General features: G+C 37.5%; 1 protein-coding gene across 3 annotated transcripts in view; it reads left to right on the forward strand.

The window, feature by feature from the left end:
* ADAM23 (ADAM metallopeptidase domain 23) overlaps window positions 1-13931 on the forward strand; it is a 177596-nt gene that overhangs the window by 68401 nt on the left and 95264 nt on the right. The window lies entirely within an intron of this gene.

The raw sequence follows: 13931 nt of genomic DNA on the forward strand, positions 1-13931 counted from the left end.
ATTGTTACATATTTCCCTAGGTATGTTACAGTGTCAGTGGCCTTGGATGACAAGGTAACGAATGAGGTTCTGTTAACTAGGAACATTCACTGAGGTATTCAACACTAGGTGCAGATGACTGGGATTTGGAATATTTAGAAGGTAATTTCAATGACATATGTGGTGAAATGTAGGTAACTGTAGGAAATGGTGTAATGCTTAGAATTCACATAAAAGAGATAAAGAGAACTGATAGCCACATGCTTATTTCATGAGATTATGGGTTTAAAAATTAGAATTACTTTCAATTTTCTAAACAAGCTGCTTAATAGCCTCTTAAAGGACGAACAAATTCAAATTCTTCTCTAGTTAAGAATTGTAAGAATGATCAGGCATGAGACACAGAAAAAAGGAAAAAAGCCTCATTATGCTATTACTTCACTCATCATTTCTGATTTTAAATTGCAGTTTAGTGTGGGTATTTAAATTGCTAGCTATTTCAAAAATGTCCTCTGGTTTTAGATACTATAATCAGCTGAAAAGGCTATTGAGTGCCGTTACATGGCCTCAAGATCTAAAAACTTTTGTATAAAAATAGAACAATTTATAATACTGATCTGACCCTCTGAGCATGCATGTGAAGACATTCCTAGAATAACCCTTTTTAGAATTATTGGATGTTCTAAATAGTCTAACAATGTAACGTATTGTCTTTGATGAAAAAATAGAAACTCTGAAAAAGACTTTTTTTTTGAGCAAAAAGCATCTGGAAGTGCCTTGAACTATATAAAATGAGTGCACAGATATACCTAGTTTTATGTTCTTCACTTAATTGTGCTTTGCAGATATTGTGCTTCTAACAAGTTGAAGGTTTTTGGGAGCCGTGCATTGAGCAAGTCTATTGGCACCATTTTTCCAACAGCGCATGCTCACTTCTCTGTCTGTGTCATATTTTGGTAATTCTCGCAGTATTTCAGACTTTTTCATTATTATTTAAATTATTATGATCTGTGATCAGTGATGTTTGATGTTACTATTATGGTTGTTTTGGGGGTACCACAGACTGTACCCATAGAATCCAGTGAACTTTATGGATAAATGTGTATGTCCTGGCTTCTCCACTGACTGGCCATTCCCCTTCTCTCTCCCTCTCTGGCCTCCTTATTCCATGAAACACAACAATTTTGAAATTAGGTCAATTAACAACCTTATACCGGCCTCTATGTGTTTAAGTGAAAGGAAGAGTCACATGTCTCTCACTTGAAATTAAAAGGTAGGAATTACTAAGCATAGTTTCAAGGCATGTTGAAAGCTGAGACAGGTTGAAACTGAGGCCTCTTGAGTCAGTTAGCAAAGTTGTGAATGCAAAGGAAAAGTTTCTGAAGGAAATTAAATGTGCTATTCCAGTGAACACAGGAATGATAAGAAAGTGAAACAGCCTTGTTGCTGATATGGAGAAAGTTTTAATGTTCTGGATAGAAGATCAAACCAGCCAAAACATTCCATTCAGTGAAAGCTGAATCCAGAGCATATCTCCCCTCAATTTTATGAAGACAGAGAGAGATGAAAAAGCTGCAGAAGAAAAGTTTGAAGCTAGCAGAATTTGGTTCATGAGATTTAAGGAAAGAAGCTGTTTCCATAACATAAAAGTGCAAGGTAAAGCAGCAAGTGCTAATGTAGAAGCTGAAGCAAGTTATCCAGAACATCTAGCTAAGATAATTAATAAAAGTGGCTACACTAAACAACAGATTTTCAATGTAGATGAAACAGCCTTCCTATTGGAAGAAGACTCCATCTAGGACTTTCCTAACTAGAGAGGAGAACTCAAAACCTGGCTTCGACGCTGCAAAGAACAGGCTGACTCTTGTTTGGTGATAATGCAGCTTGTGACTTTAGGTTGAAGCCAGTGCTCATTTAGCATTCTGAAAATCCTAGAGCCCTTAAGAATTATGCGAAATCTGTTCTGCCTGTGCTCCATAAATGGAACAACAAAGCCTGGGTGACAGCACATCTGTTTACAATATGGTTTACTGAATATTTTAAGCACACTGTTGAGACCTATGGCACAGGACAAAAAAAGATTCCTTTTTAAAATATTACTGCTCATTGACAATGCACCTGGCCACCAAAGAGTGCTGATGGAGATGTACGAGGTTAATGTTGTTTTTATGCCTGATAACACAACATCCATTCTGAAGCCCATGAATCAAGGAGTAATTTCAACTTTCAAGTCTTATTATTTCAGAAATACATTTTGTATTACATTTTGTAAAGTGATAGTTGCCATAGATCGTGATTACTCTATTGGGTCTGGGCAAAGTAAATAGAAAACCTTCTGGAAAGGATTAACCATTCTGGATTCCATTAAGAACATTCCTAATTAATGGAAGGAGGTGAAAATATAAACATTTACAGGAGTTTGGAATAAGTTGATTTCAACCGTCATGGATGACTTTGAGGGGTTCAAGAGTTCAGTGGAGGAAGTCACTGCAGACGTGGTAGAAAGACAGTAAGAGAGGAACAACTAGAAGTGGAGCCCGAAGATGTGACTGAACTGCTGCAATCTCATGATAAGACTTGAATGGATGAAGAGTTACTTAAGTGGTTTCATGAGATGGAATCTACTGCTGGTGAAGTTGCTGTGAACATTGTTGAAATGACAGCAAAGGATTTAGAATATTACATAAACTTGGTTGGGCAGAGTTTGAGAGGATTGACTCCAATTTTGAAAGAAGTTCTGCTGCGGGTAAAATGCTGTCACACAGCATCACATGCTACAGAGAAATCTTTCATGAAGAGTCAATCAATGAGACAAACTTCATTGTTGTCTTATTTCAATAAATTGGCACAGCCACTCTAGCCTTCAGCAACCACTGATCACTCAGTTCAGCAGCCATCAACATCAAGACAAGACCCTCTACCAGCAAAATGATTACAACTTGCTGAAGGGCTCAGGTGATCATTAGCGTTTTTTAGCAATAAAGTATTTTTAGATATAATGCTATTACATGCATAATAGACTAGAGTACAGTATAGTGTAAACCTACCTTTTATGTACACTGGGGAACCAAAAAATTGTGTAACTTGCTTTATTGTGATACTTGCTTTATTGTGGTAGTCTGGAACAGATCCTGCAGTATCCCCAAGGTATGCCTGTATCTCAGTATAGTCGTGATCATAGGTCTTGCTTTTCTTTAGATTCACTGTTGGTGTTATCATCCATGAATTTCACCTTCCTGTGTACAAACATCTCTTATTACAGTAGGAGAATATGGGAGTCAGAAAAGGAAGACATTTATTGTCATTATGAACTCAGAAATATGTTTTCTAGTGATCATTGAAACAACTGAGATTGATATTTTCCAGCCACGGCAGTTTTGGTGATTGAAAGCAAGATCTGTTTTTTAAAAATTAAATATAAGTTTGCACATTCTTCCAGGGAAGGGCACGGGATAATTTCCCTTGCCATTTTATTTTGAAACCAGCTTTGTTGTGGTGGCACGCTCCATGAGATTTGCTCCATGAGATTTGCTCCATGTTGCACCACACACAGTCTTTGCTCCTGTGTCCTTCCATAGAAAAAAACAGTGTGGGGAAGGATTTGGTTTGTCTTACCCTTTAATCTTCTGCTCCTACAGCTCTCTGGTCTGATAGTTCACTATTTTGGTAATAAAGTCAGATATAGTTCAAATCCTGTCTGGTCTATTATTTCGTGAAATTTTTGAACTTTTCCATGCTTTGGCATCCTCCAAGAACTTTTTCCTTTCTAAGTTTTACTGTTTTAATATAAATGGACTCCTATGTGAACACTTTTAGACTGGAGTCTAAAAGTGGCCTAATAGGCTTGCTATTTTTAGAGAAGGAGAAAGTTGCCTTTTGTTCTCTCTGTGCTTTTCACCTCCCACATGTTCTTTAGAGTTTTTTTTCCTGTTCTGGTCTTAGTAGTGACAGCTTTCTAATTCCAGAGGCTTTTTCCTGGGTCTGTTTCTGGCTCATTTTGTCTCATACTCAAAATTTTTAATGTCAGAATTGGGCTGGGCTCTTCTCTTTCTATTATCTGTAAACATTTTGGGTTTCTTTTCCTCTAATTTATGAAAATTATGAAATGTACACATAAAGGAGTGGAAAATATATTCACCCAGTTTAAAGAAGAGTAATAAAATGGACATTCGTATATACCCACCATCCAGGTTGAGAAATAGAACATTGCTTGTGTCTCAGAAGCTCTCTGTGTTCCTCTCAGTCACGTTCCCCCACCCCAACTCCTACCCAAGGTAACCTCTCATCCTGAAGCTTACATGGAAGATTTGGGCATTTTTATTAAAAAAAAAAAAAAGAAAGAAAAAGCCAAGTAGTGATAAAAAATAGTAACAATAGAATTTTCAGGAAAAAAATAAAGATAATGTAAATGCGTTTTTTTTCTAACATTCCACAAAAGAATAATTTGTTTAGGATTGAGGAGAGAATTAATGCTTGTCTTAGTCTGCTCAGGCTGCTATAGCAAAATTTCATCAACTGGGAAGCTTAAACAACATTTATTTCTCACAGTTTTGGAGGCTAGGAAGTCTAAGATCAAGGCACCTCAAGATTTAGTGGCTGGCAGAGACCCTCTTCCTGGCTTATAGACAAGCCACCTTCTTGCTGTGTCTTCATATGGTAGAGAGAGAGAGGGAGAGACAAAGTTCTTTGGTCTCTTCTTAAAAAAGAGAGGACTTCACCCCTTTGCCCTCATCTAAACCTAATTACCTCCTAAAAGCCCCATCTCCTAGTACCATCACATTGGGGGTTAGGGCCTCAATATATGAATTTTGGGAGGGCACAGACGTTCACTCTTGAAGGATTTCAGCTATTCGTGCTGTGTCACTGAAATTAGAACTAGTGTAAAAAGAAAAGTTCACGTACATATAATGCAAATATTCAGTGAGCTGGCACCCAACCTACCCTTGTTTGATAAGGAATAATTGGAAATTTTCTATTTTGGCCTAGCAGTTTGAGGGCAGACAACTTCTTCTGACCTCATTTCCTCCTGATCATTGTGGACATACACCAGCAGCATTTCCTTGTCTTACAATAGTAAGCTTGCTAAAATAATAATAAATAAATAAATAAAAATAAAATAATAGTAAGCTTGCTAAAATAAAAAAACACGCTCGTACACACAACACATACACCTAAACACACGTATGCACTTTCTTTGTAAAGCTCTGTTTGAAATATACTAAAGAGGACTGTTCCTGAAGTAATCTTGCAGTCATGTCTGCTCTCATCCTTTGTTCTTTCAGCCTCACATTCCCAGTCTTCATGGGCTGACTGCCTGGGATTGACTTTTGCCTTCACAGATACTTATCTGCAAAAGATAGAGACAGAAAGTAGCCCGAGTCTCAAAGTTTTCTTGCTGCCACTGCCGTGTGCTACCTCAGACCCCTCATTGCTTACCTGGGGGCTAAGCCCTGCCTCTAGGACCCTCAGGTTCCTGTGGATTCCTGTCTTGAGTATGGTGTGCCATCTTGTTTTTTTCTGAGCTGCTTGACTTGTTGACTCTTCATCAACAAATGTTAGAATGCCTACTCTGTGTAGGCAGCTATACCAAGAACTGTGGATGCAATGTGGTGCCTGTCCTTTTTATGGGATGGTTATTTTGGAGAGTCTTGTTTGCTTTTCTAGTGTCCACAGGCTGGTATGATCTCTAGCCTTTATAGGCATTTCTCTTGACCCAGAATTTTGACTCTGCTAGACCACAAGCTTCTGGATTTTTCCTGGAGTGGCCACTTCATTTTTCTACCCCTGTCATGAGTTACCAACCTTGGTGTGGCTTTCCTGGATGTGAATCAGTTCATTTAGGACTTTTCTCATATCTTCTCTAGTCCTAACCATTCTGGTTCCTGGAACTGATACTGATAGTAAATTCGCCATAATGGACCATATACAGTTAATGCTAGCATTTCTACCAGGGTTCTAAAAATGTCTGGTTTTAAGATTAAATTAAAAATAGTCCCTCTGAAAGACCTAAATAGAATAGTTTCTCTCTTTTTCTGTGTCAGTCTCTTTGGGATTTGGCTGCTTCTGGAATCTTACAAAGGTTTTGCTTTTGATCCAAACACTGCAAGGCACTTTGTGAATGTGAGTAAGATAGTCTACATGGGCTGAAAATTTAAGACCATTTAATGAAAGTTGTCTGGCTGCAGGAAAAATGCTCATTTTTACAAATTGTCTTAAAGTTCTGATTTATAGATCTGTTCTGCATTTTTCTACTACCACTGGATTTTATTACTGGCACATTATATTTAATTAGGATAGAAGGAATGTGTGTGCTCATAATTATTTAAAATGATTTCAGGACATATATTTAGAGAATCGAGTGTAAATACTTAATAATAGTTAAAAGATAAAAATTCAGTTTTAGTATTATGCAAAATGTCTAGACTCTATAATTAGCCTGGAGTAGATTAAATTATGCACCTCTAATCACTATTTTATACATGTCTTTCAAAGTGACATCAATTGTCATCAAATTTGCTTATTATAAGATTTTGCTGGATGAGTACTTATATTTTCAGTATATTTATTTTTTAGTGTCTTTGTGATTAAAAACATGTTAGCATGACTCTCAGGTTTTTAAAATTTGTTTTAATTACAATTAAGTGATGGTTTTCTAATTGTGTTGTCTGATTTTCAGCAGACCACTTAAATAGTTTGGTGTTAATGCAACTGTGGCTTTAGCAGATCTTGATCATTAGCTCTCAGATGAATTTCTATGTAAAGGAATTTTGTTATCAATCTAATCTGTAGAAAGAGTGTATCACTTTACATCTTGGTAATTGGGGTACAGTCTTTTTGTTGAGGTACATAGAAATATGTAGAATTAGAAGAAAATTTCAGCAGCTCTTTACAGCATATAGGCAATACGAATAGAACTGTTCTTTCAGCACCTTCTGAAAAAGATGGGCCTGAAGTCATCCCAGTATGCAATAGCTGATTATTTGACAAAGCATGTATCAAATAGATGAAAATATCAAATAGACGTGTGTGTTAATAGTCCTCAACTTCCAGTTTAGCCTAGGTGTATATTTAAGGTAGGAGATGATGACAATCATACTCATATTCACTCTTTTAGACTTAGAAGTTTTCTTGGAGACCCTATAATTCAACATTCTTGGTTTTTGTAAGGGAGAAGACTAGTTGGACAATGTTAGTTACTTCTCTGAGATCTCAGAGATGGTCAGCTCCTGGGTGCCTGTTTAGTTCAGGCATTCCCCTGTGACAGGATATGACAGCACAGTGAAAAAGGGCCGGTTAGCACGCTCATAAACAACACTGAATCTGAAAGTCCACACCAGTTGGAAGAATTATCCTTTCCAAAGAAGCTACAAATGACTGATAGTTTTTCCAATATATTCTGTAATTTTCAGAGGTATCTTAGCTTGTTATTATTTTAAAATTGTACATAATTTAGAAGAATGAAAATTCTGTTTGTTAGAGAAATTAGTTGTGATTTAGGTAAGCAAAGCACAATCATGACTTTTTTTTAAACAATCGAAGTCCCAGTGAACAATTTTTGTGATGCTATGAAATGTGCTCAGAAGGTGGGCTTATTTGAAGGTCATTTTTCTAAATGATAACTTAAAAAAATAGTTGCCACTTTGTATGATAGTAGTTTTGTACCCACATGAAGAAAGCATTAAAAATTCTCTGTTCTCTTTCTCTTCTTGGTAGGTTGTGTTCTTATCTACCATACTGGTTTGAGATTACTGTAGAAGTATGTTTCTAATTGCTACATTGTGACAATTACTTAAACATATCTACTATTTAAGAAGAACCAGCCTGGCAAGGTGGCTATTTCTTCTAATACCAGCACTTTGGGAAGCCAAGAAGGGAGGATTGCTTGAGCCCAGGAGTTGGAGACCAGCCTGGGGAAGATAGTGAGACTCCATCTCTACAAAAAAATAAAAAAGATAAGCCACTCATGGTGGCACATGCCTGTGGTTCCCAGCTACTTGGGAGGCCAAGGTGGGAGAATTGCTTGAACCTGGGAGGTTGAGGCTGCTGTGGGTCGTGATATTTCTACCACCTTCTAGCCTGGGTAACAGAGCAAGAGCCTGCCTCAAAAAAATAAAAAATAAAAAGGAGCAAGATTATCATCTCTAAAGATTCCTGTGTTATATGTATGAAGGGTACCATGATTGCACAGAATATTGTTTTCTGTATAGTACAGAGAAATCAAGGGTGACAACTTCAAATGCCTTTTACTTTACAGGGTTGTGCAGACATGCCCTCAGTCTGTCTCTTGGGGATTTGCTCTACAGAGGCCCCTGTCTCAGTTCAGCCAGTAGATATATTCCAGGCTCAGGTTGTGGTGGTGCAGGAGAAATCAAGAGTTGGGCTTCTCCTAGGTAGGACAAAAAGAGAGGAAGAGAGCACACAAAAGACAATAGTAGTAGTTCTACAAAAATCTTACTCTTCCTTTATTAAAACAGTGTAAAATTACAAAGTACACATTAGCATTTGCATAATAAATTTTAGGACAAACATCTATAACTTACAGTGAAAGAATTTAAAGAAATGGCAACATTTAGTTAAAAACCTTTATCTTTGTTAATCATTTCTTTAATTCTCTTCTTCTTATTTTTTTCTCTCACTCAGTATCTTCGGCCGTTAATTGAATGAGTGGAGGACAGTTAAAGCCACAGGTTTTCATATGTGGAGAGGCTGCTCCTTAATGTCTTTGCTGGTCTCTTGCCGTTCTCTCCTGCTGCTAACATTAATTACTTTGCTGATGGCTCTAATTGACCCAGTAAAAGAATCTTATCTGTGTTCAGCCCTTCCCAGGTCCTGAAGTCTTTGCAGCTTCTGCTTGCTTTCAGCCTTTATAAATAGCCTTCCAAGTTCTGAGTTCTGGTTCTAGAGTTCCCTTTCCTTTGAAAGTCCTACCCCTTGCTTAAGCCTGTGGATCACTGTTTCTAAACCCACCTTTTCAACACTATTGCCCCATATCACTGATGCCCCAGCTCAACTGGACTTTTAGCTTTTCCCTGAATAGGCCTCTTTGCCTTTTCCTGTTTCATGGATTTGTACACAGTGGTCCCTGTCTATAGGATCTTCTCTTTCCTGCCCATATTTCCCTGTCCAAATTGTATCGTAGAGACTGCCTAAGCCCTGCTTCTTCACTAAAGGGTTCCCTGATCATATTAATTGAAATTAATTTTCTCCTTGAGGGCTGCTTGATGCTTTGTTTGTTATTTATGGTAGTAGGCTAACTGCTGCCTTGGCTTATTTTAGCAATGAGATTATAATCACCTTGACGGTGAGAGGCATTTTGTTTCTCTTTTTGTCTTTACCTACTCCCACCAGCTGATATTCAGGGAACATCTGTCTCATTGAGTTTAGGGGATGTAGGGAAAGCCTGGTCAGCTGCTGCTCCCTGCATGGTAGGTGGTGGTATTGTGAATGTCTGTGGTTCCTGGTGTTTCCTGGACTCGAAATTAGTCCTTAATTAAATAATTCCTTTATTAAAGGAACTATGCTTCTTTTCCTTTAAAAATATAGCTTGTATTGTGGTTTCGTCTTAAAATGGCAGTATACATTCATTGTAAAAATTTTGGGTAATACAGTTAAGCAAAAGAAAGAAAATAAAAACTCTTGAAAGTTCTGCAGGAAACAGTAGCTCACTGCTACATTTGGTATACACCTTTTCAGACATTTTTCTATATGTGAATGTATGTATATAAACATACTTCTAAAAAGTTGCCAAGCATAGTATTCTTTTATTTTTCTTTTCACTGAATGATGTTGTGAACATCTTTCTAAGTGTGAAAGCCTTGAAAGCTGCTCTCACCTACATCATGCATGTATTGTTTTTTGTCTAGTCATTTCCTCAGGAAACCCTTATGAGTGGAACTTGTGGATTATAGGGTGAACATGCTTTCAGGGCTTTTGATACCTATTGCCAAATTGCCCTCTGCATGCCAGTTTTCCTACATCCTTGCCAGCAGTGGCTACTGTCATTCATTTTTATTTTCTAAAGTGATGGGGGAAAACGATCTCTTTCATTATTTTAATTCACAGGTATTTTATTGCTAGTGCAGCTGTAGGTTGGTGTATGATTGATCACCATGAATATTTCTTGTTTTCTTTTTTTCATGAGTTGCATGTTGTATACATAATTCTTCATGTTTATTTAAATCCAAGTTTATTCATAGGTTATATATATGTATGTAAATATATATGTATGTATATTCATATATATATATCTCTGTGTACATTATACATATATAAATAAATTCAACTATATTTGTACACATATAAAATTTGTTGTTGTTAGTAGAAACTTTTCCCCCTAGATTATTTTTAGATGTTTTTTGTTGGTTGTACATCTAGAAATGTGTTTTGTTTTTGCATATTTATCTTGTAACCAGTCACCTTACTTAACTGTTATTATTTCTGATAGTTTTTCTGTTGGTTTCTTTTTTATTCTTTTGGCTATTTTATATATACCTAGGAAGAATAGAACACCATATAAACAGATGTGCAGTTTTTCTGTATAGAATGAAAAATGAAAAAAGTAAAGAAAAAAGTAAAAAAATGAAAAGAGTTCTTTTCCTAGAATGTGGCAAAAACTGGACTTGGAAGAGAGTAGTTTCTTCTGTACAAGGTTACCAGAAGGCAAAGCTGATCATGGATCCTCTTCTGTTCTCTGCAATTTCTCTATGTGTGATGCTTGCTTTATAGTTATGTTAATAAATATTGGATGTATCAGAAAAGAAGCTGGATTAGCAATAGTCACCAACTACATTCATTATTAGCTTTGAAATTTGTTCATCATAGCATTTCAGTGATGTGTAACTATGTGCAGAAGATAGGCCTTTTTTATTTGGATCCAGTTTTCCTTGTGTTTAATTTTTTTTTTTTTGGTTTTATGACATACGGGGGTAAAACTAGATTGTGAAAGTAACCATGATTCTGTCATAAAGGAATCTCAAAATTACTGGAAACTTGGAGAGACACTGGTAGCCACAACTAGAAATGTGTTATCCACTTCATATGGTCGAGCTTTAAGTTAAGGGGAAGAAACGAAACATCTTTCATCTTTTATTTAAAGATTTTTCTTCTGATACCACCCTCCTCAGAAGGGAACTCTCACTGGCTTTTAGGCTGATCAAGCCAGCTGAGTGAGGGTTCTCAGCTTTTATATCACCTCAAGTCTCCTAACTCTTTGTTTCTCCACTCTACAATTAGCTTGCAGGCCTGCCTATGTTTCCTGTCCTCATTATACTAGGGTTTTCTAAACTTTATTATGGCTAATGGGACCATTACCTGAGATGCAGGAGTACCTACACATTTACATTTCCACTGCAATCTCTCATATGGTTTAGGAGATCATTAAATTTCTCTTGTTACCCCCAAAGAAAAACCTCTATAACCTATTCATGCTAGGAACATTCTCTGCCTGCAGTTCTGTTCCTATGAAATGTGCCCACACTTACCAGCCCTTGCCGGGCATGCCATCTTTGTCTGACTTAACGCAAAGCCTCTATGCAACCTATAATTATTTTCACCCACTTAATATATCATTGCTACATGCTTAAATCCCAGCCTCTCCATGTCCTCGATCTTTTAACGTAGCTTAAAATTCTTACTGTATTGTTTACACTCAAAGGAGTGTATATTTTTTAGCTGAAACAACTTTTGGTATGAAAACTATTTTAGGTGGTATGAGTCTATTTTTTTTTTAAAACTTTAGAAAAGTAATGGTTGAAAAATTGTTATACTTTTAAAGTCTTCTGTTACAAAAAGAAAAGAAATATAAGAGCAAGCATAATTGTAGGATACAAGCTTATGTTTATATGAATGTATTGAGTTTAAATTTTGTGTCTGCATTACCACTTACAGTAATTATCTAGTGAATTTAAAATATCTTATGTGTATAAAAGGACAAAACAGAGAAGCTTCTAATGGAAAGAGGGAGCGGGCACGATGCTTCACTGTGGCTTCATGGAGCCTTGGGCATAACAATGTCACTACGCTCGAGGCTCCATGAAGTTGAGAGTCTCCGCAGTGACAGCATTGGTTGTCATTAAATGAATGAAATGTGTACCTGGAAGGAAGGGGTGGTAGGAGACTTCTTGGATGAATGTCAGCGCTCATTTAGGTGTGATTAGGGCTCCCAGTACTGAGAACTTAAGTACTTTCAAGCAGCAGATAATCAGATGACTGACTTTGCATGAGAAATATGGGCATTTGTGGTACTCCTTTTCTAGATATCATTTAATTTTTCTACTGTTTGTTTAACTTCTGTTCCAGTCCCAATTTGAACACATATGGAAGTAACTTACATGTTTTACTACTGAGAATTGAATTAGGGTATTTGTGCTACTGTTTACTTAGGAACAAAGATGTATGGCAAGGTGCATGGCTAGTCACCACCTGACAAGTTCAGTGTCTTGCAGTGAATGTGATCTCATAGCTTCCTGACTTCCACAACTTACACTGCTGACTCCTCTTGCCCAGATCCACCTACTGATGTTATGCACTGAGAGAGCCTAAGGCACCTACTCAAGGCTTTCCTAAAACAGTGGCTGTATTAGTCCATTTTCACTCTGCTAATAAAGACATTCCCAAGACTGGGTAATTTATAAAGAAAAAGAGGTTTAATGGACTCACAGTTCCACCTGGCTAGGGAGGCCCCACAATCATGGTGGAAGGTGAAGGGTATGTCTTACATGGTGGCAGACAAGAGAGAATGCGAGTCAAGTGAAAGGGGTTTCCCCTTATAAAACATCAGATCTCGTGAGACTTACTCACTACCATGAGAACAGTATCAGGGAAACTGCCTCCCATGAATCAGTGATCTCCCACTGGGTCCCTCCCACAACACGTGGGAATTATGGGAGCTACAATTCAAGATGAGATTTGGGTGAGGACACAGCCAAACTGTATCAGTGGCCATGTGAAGTATGATGACAGAACCCAAAAGCAACTGGAGGAGAGGACATACTCACAGACTGTTTGCTTACTAGAATCTCAGCTTTTGAGTATTTTCCACCTTGTAGACCAACCTGACCTTCCATGTAGAACTCGATGTGTATACCTTAAATTTGGCCTTTAGGTAGGGTGACCATATGCCCCAGTTTTCCCAGGATAGCCCTTCCTGGTTTATGTATGTCTGTTGTCCTGGCACAATTATTAATATGCCTCTTTTCATTTCCACAAATGCCCTAGTTTGGATGATAAATTATATGGCCATCCAGTTGTTAGGCCTTGGTGCTTGCTACTATTCATCTAGACTTTTTTTTACCTAGTTCTGCTGGTGAAGAAATGCTGTGTGGGCCTCTAGGTTCCTTCAGACAAGCTTGTTCTCAGCAACTCACTCAATTTCCTAGTTAGAAATAAACTGAGTGCTTAATACAAAATTTCAGAGAATACAGATTTTAAAACTAGAAAGGACTTCCAGAGACTGGTAGTTCAACCACTTTTTACAATGAAGTAAATGATTTTAAGTCATGTAGAAAAAATGATTTCCTTTGTGGTCCAATGTATATCTTTTCTAGTAGCCTTCCTCATAGCCCAAGGCCCAGTTAGCCACGTCGTCTTGTTCTGAACAATTGTTTTCTTTGATCAGCCTGCCCTTAAACTTTTCTGACCAGAATTACTCCAAAGAGAAGCATATTTTTGTTTGTTTGTTTGTTTGTTTTGTTTTATTCTGAGACAGAGTCTTGCTCTGTCGCTCAGGCTGGAATGCAGTGGTGTGATCTCGGCTCACTGCAACCTCTGCCTCACAGGTTCAAGCAATTCTCCTGCCTCAGCCTCCTGAGTAGCTGGGATTACAGACGCTCACCACCACACCTGGCTAATTTTTGTATTTTTAGTACAGATGGGGTTTCAGCATGTTGGCCAGGCTGGTCTCAAACTCCTGACCCTGTGATCCGCCTGCCTCAGTCTCCCAAAATGCTGAGATT

Source organism: Homo sapiens, chromosome 2, assembly GCF_000001405.40.
Source record: "Homo sapiens chromosome 2, GRCh38.p14 Primary Assembly".
In the NCBI taxonomy this organism is placed as follows: domain Eukaryota; kingdom Metazoa; phylum Chordata; class Mammalia; order Primates; family Hominidae; genus Homo; species Homo sapiens.